Below are 1,436 nucleotides of genomic sequence, written 5' to 3' on the forward strand. Positions count from 1 at the left end.
AGTAAAGTGAATAGACTCTTTATCTAGGTAATTCTTTGATCTATTTGATGTTAGGAGGTTTGGCTTATGGTGACCTGGGATAAGAAGCATACTCCAAACTCTTGCTATTATCCTTCCAATAGTCATAATAATAGTCTCCCTAATAGGCTGTATTCTCTCAAAGGTTTTAAATGCTTGGATGCAACCATCTCTAGGCTGCCATATGTTCTCTCTTCAACTAAAATGACAAGAGCTGAAAGAAATGTGTAACCATGAGGACACTGTAACCTATGAATGATATGCTGAGTCCAGAAATCCAAAATGATGGTAACTAAGAGTGGCGCTAAGACCCTAAGTTTTGGTCACACTCTTACCTAAGTGAGAACCTGACCAAAAAGAGGGAAGTTTTTAAACGAAATGATGAGAGGCCATTGTTTTGGAATAAGCTCAGGCACTAGACCTCAACAGACCAAACCAAGCCAAAATGGAGTCATTTGTGCTAAGACTTTAAGGAAACACATTGATTCTAGAACACACCAGGTTTTATTTTTTTCTCCTACAAATCTCTATAACAAACATTCCTGACAGCATAGGTATCCATCCTCTGAAGTCCCCTTCAAATCTTTTAACCAAATACACTTCCTCTTGCCTAGAGACCTTCAAGCTTCAGATGATTATACAACAAAGCTTCAAGCAAGTTCCAGGTGAAGACACCACCACTGGCCATCAAGAAGCTACCCTGCCTCCTCTAGACAGAGGAGGGCAAGAGTTCTGTGATCTCTAATAGGTAGGGACTACTCCCCAAGCCAGCATGAAGCAGTTACATAAGAAAGACCATCGGTCCCTTCACCTCCCATAAAGATTTACAAGAATCACATCTCTCAGCAGGGAAATGAGGCAGGAAAATAGGGTCTGGAAGCAGGGAATATAAGGCCAATTCACATTTCAGCAATAACAGGAAATATCCTCTCTATAGGGGGTATGCTGAGTAAATGACTTTGTAACTTTACTTCATCTTCTCCATATAATACATAAGGCATACACCAAGTAACCAATGGAAACCTCTAGAGATTATTTAAACATCCCAAAAATCTGTAATGGGGCCCTTGAGCCCCTATGCTCAGGTCTGCTCCCATACTGTGGACTGTATTTTCATTTTCAGTAAATCCCTTCATTTCTTCCTTGCTTTGTTTGTGTGTTTTGTCCAATTCTTTGTTCAAGATGCCAAGATCCTGGATGCCCTCCGCCTGTAACAGGAGGAGTCAGCAGTGACAAACTCATTCTGTTCGCACTAGGTACATTATATATAAAAAAGTCCTTCAGCTTCTATATGAAATGTGTGGCAGAATGCAACTATTTCTCTTCTAATTGACTTTTGAATTCAGGAGAGCTTCACTTAACTTTAGTGAGAAAGAAAAGTAATCTATGTTATTTTTTCCTGAAGAAGATAATATTAG

The 1,436-nt window shown here is 39.6% G+C and overlaps 1 annotated feature.

Annotated features, from left to right (window-relative positions):
• Positions 555-1,144: an enhancer, noted in NCBI's record as "NANOG hESC enhancer chr8:115914616-115915205 (GRCh37/hg19 assembly coordinates)". NCBI's record gives its function as "activates a minimal SCP1, AML or CMV promoter by ChIP-STARR-seq in primed H9 embryonic stem cells {active_cell/tissue: H9 hESC(primed)}" and the evidence as "EXISTENCE:reporter gene assay evidence [ECO:0000049][PMID:30033119]".

This window comes from Homo sapiens, chromosome 8, assembly GCF_000001405.40.
Source record: "Homo sapiens chromosome 8, GRCh38.p14 Primary Assembly".
In the NCBI taxonomy this organism is placed as follows: Eukaryota; Metazoa; Chordata; class Mammalia; order Primates; family Hominidae; genus Homo; species Homo sapiens.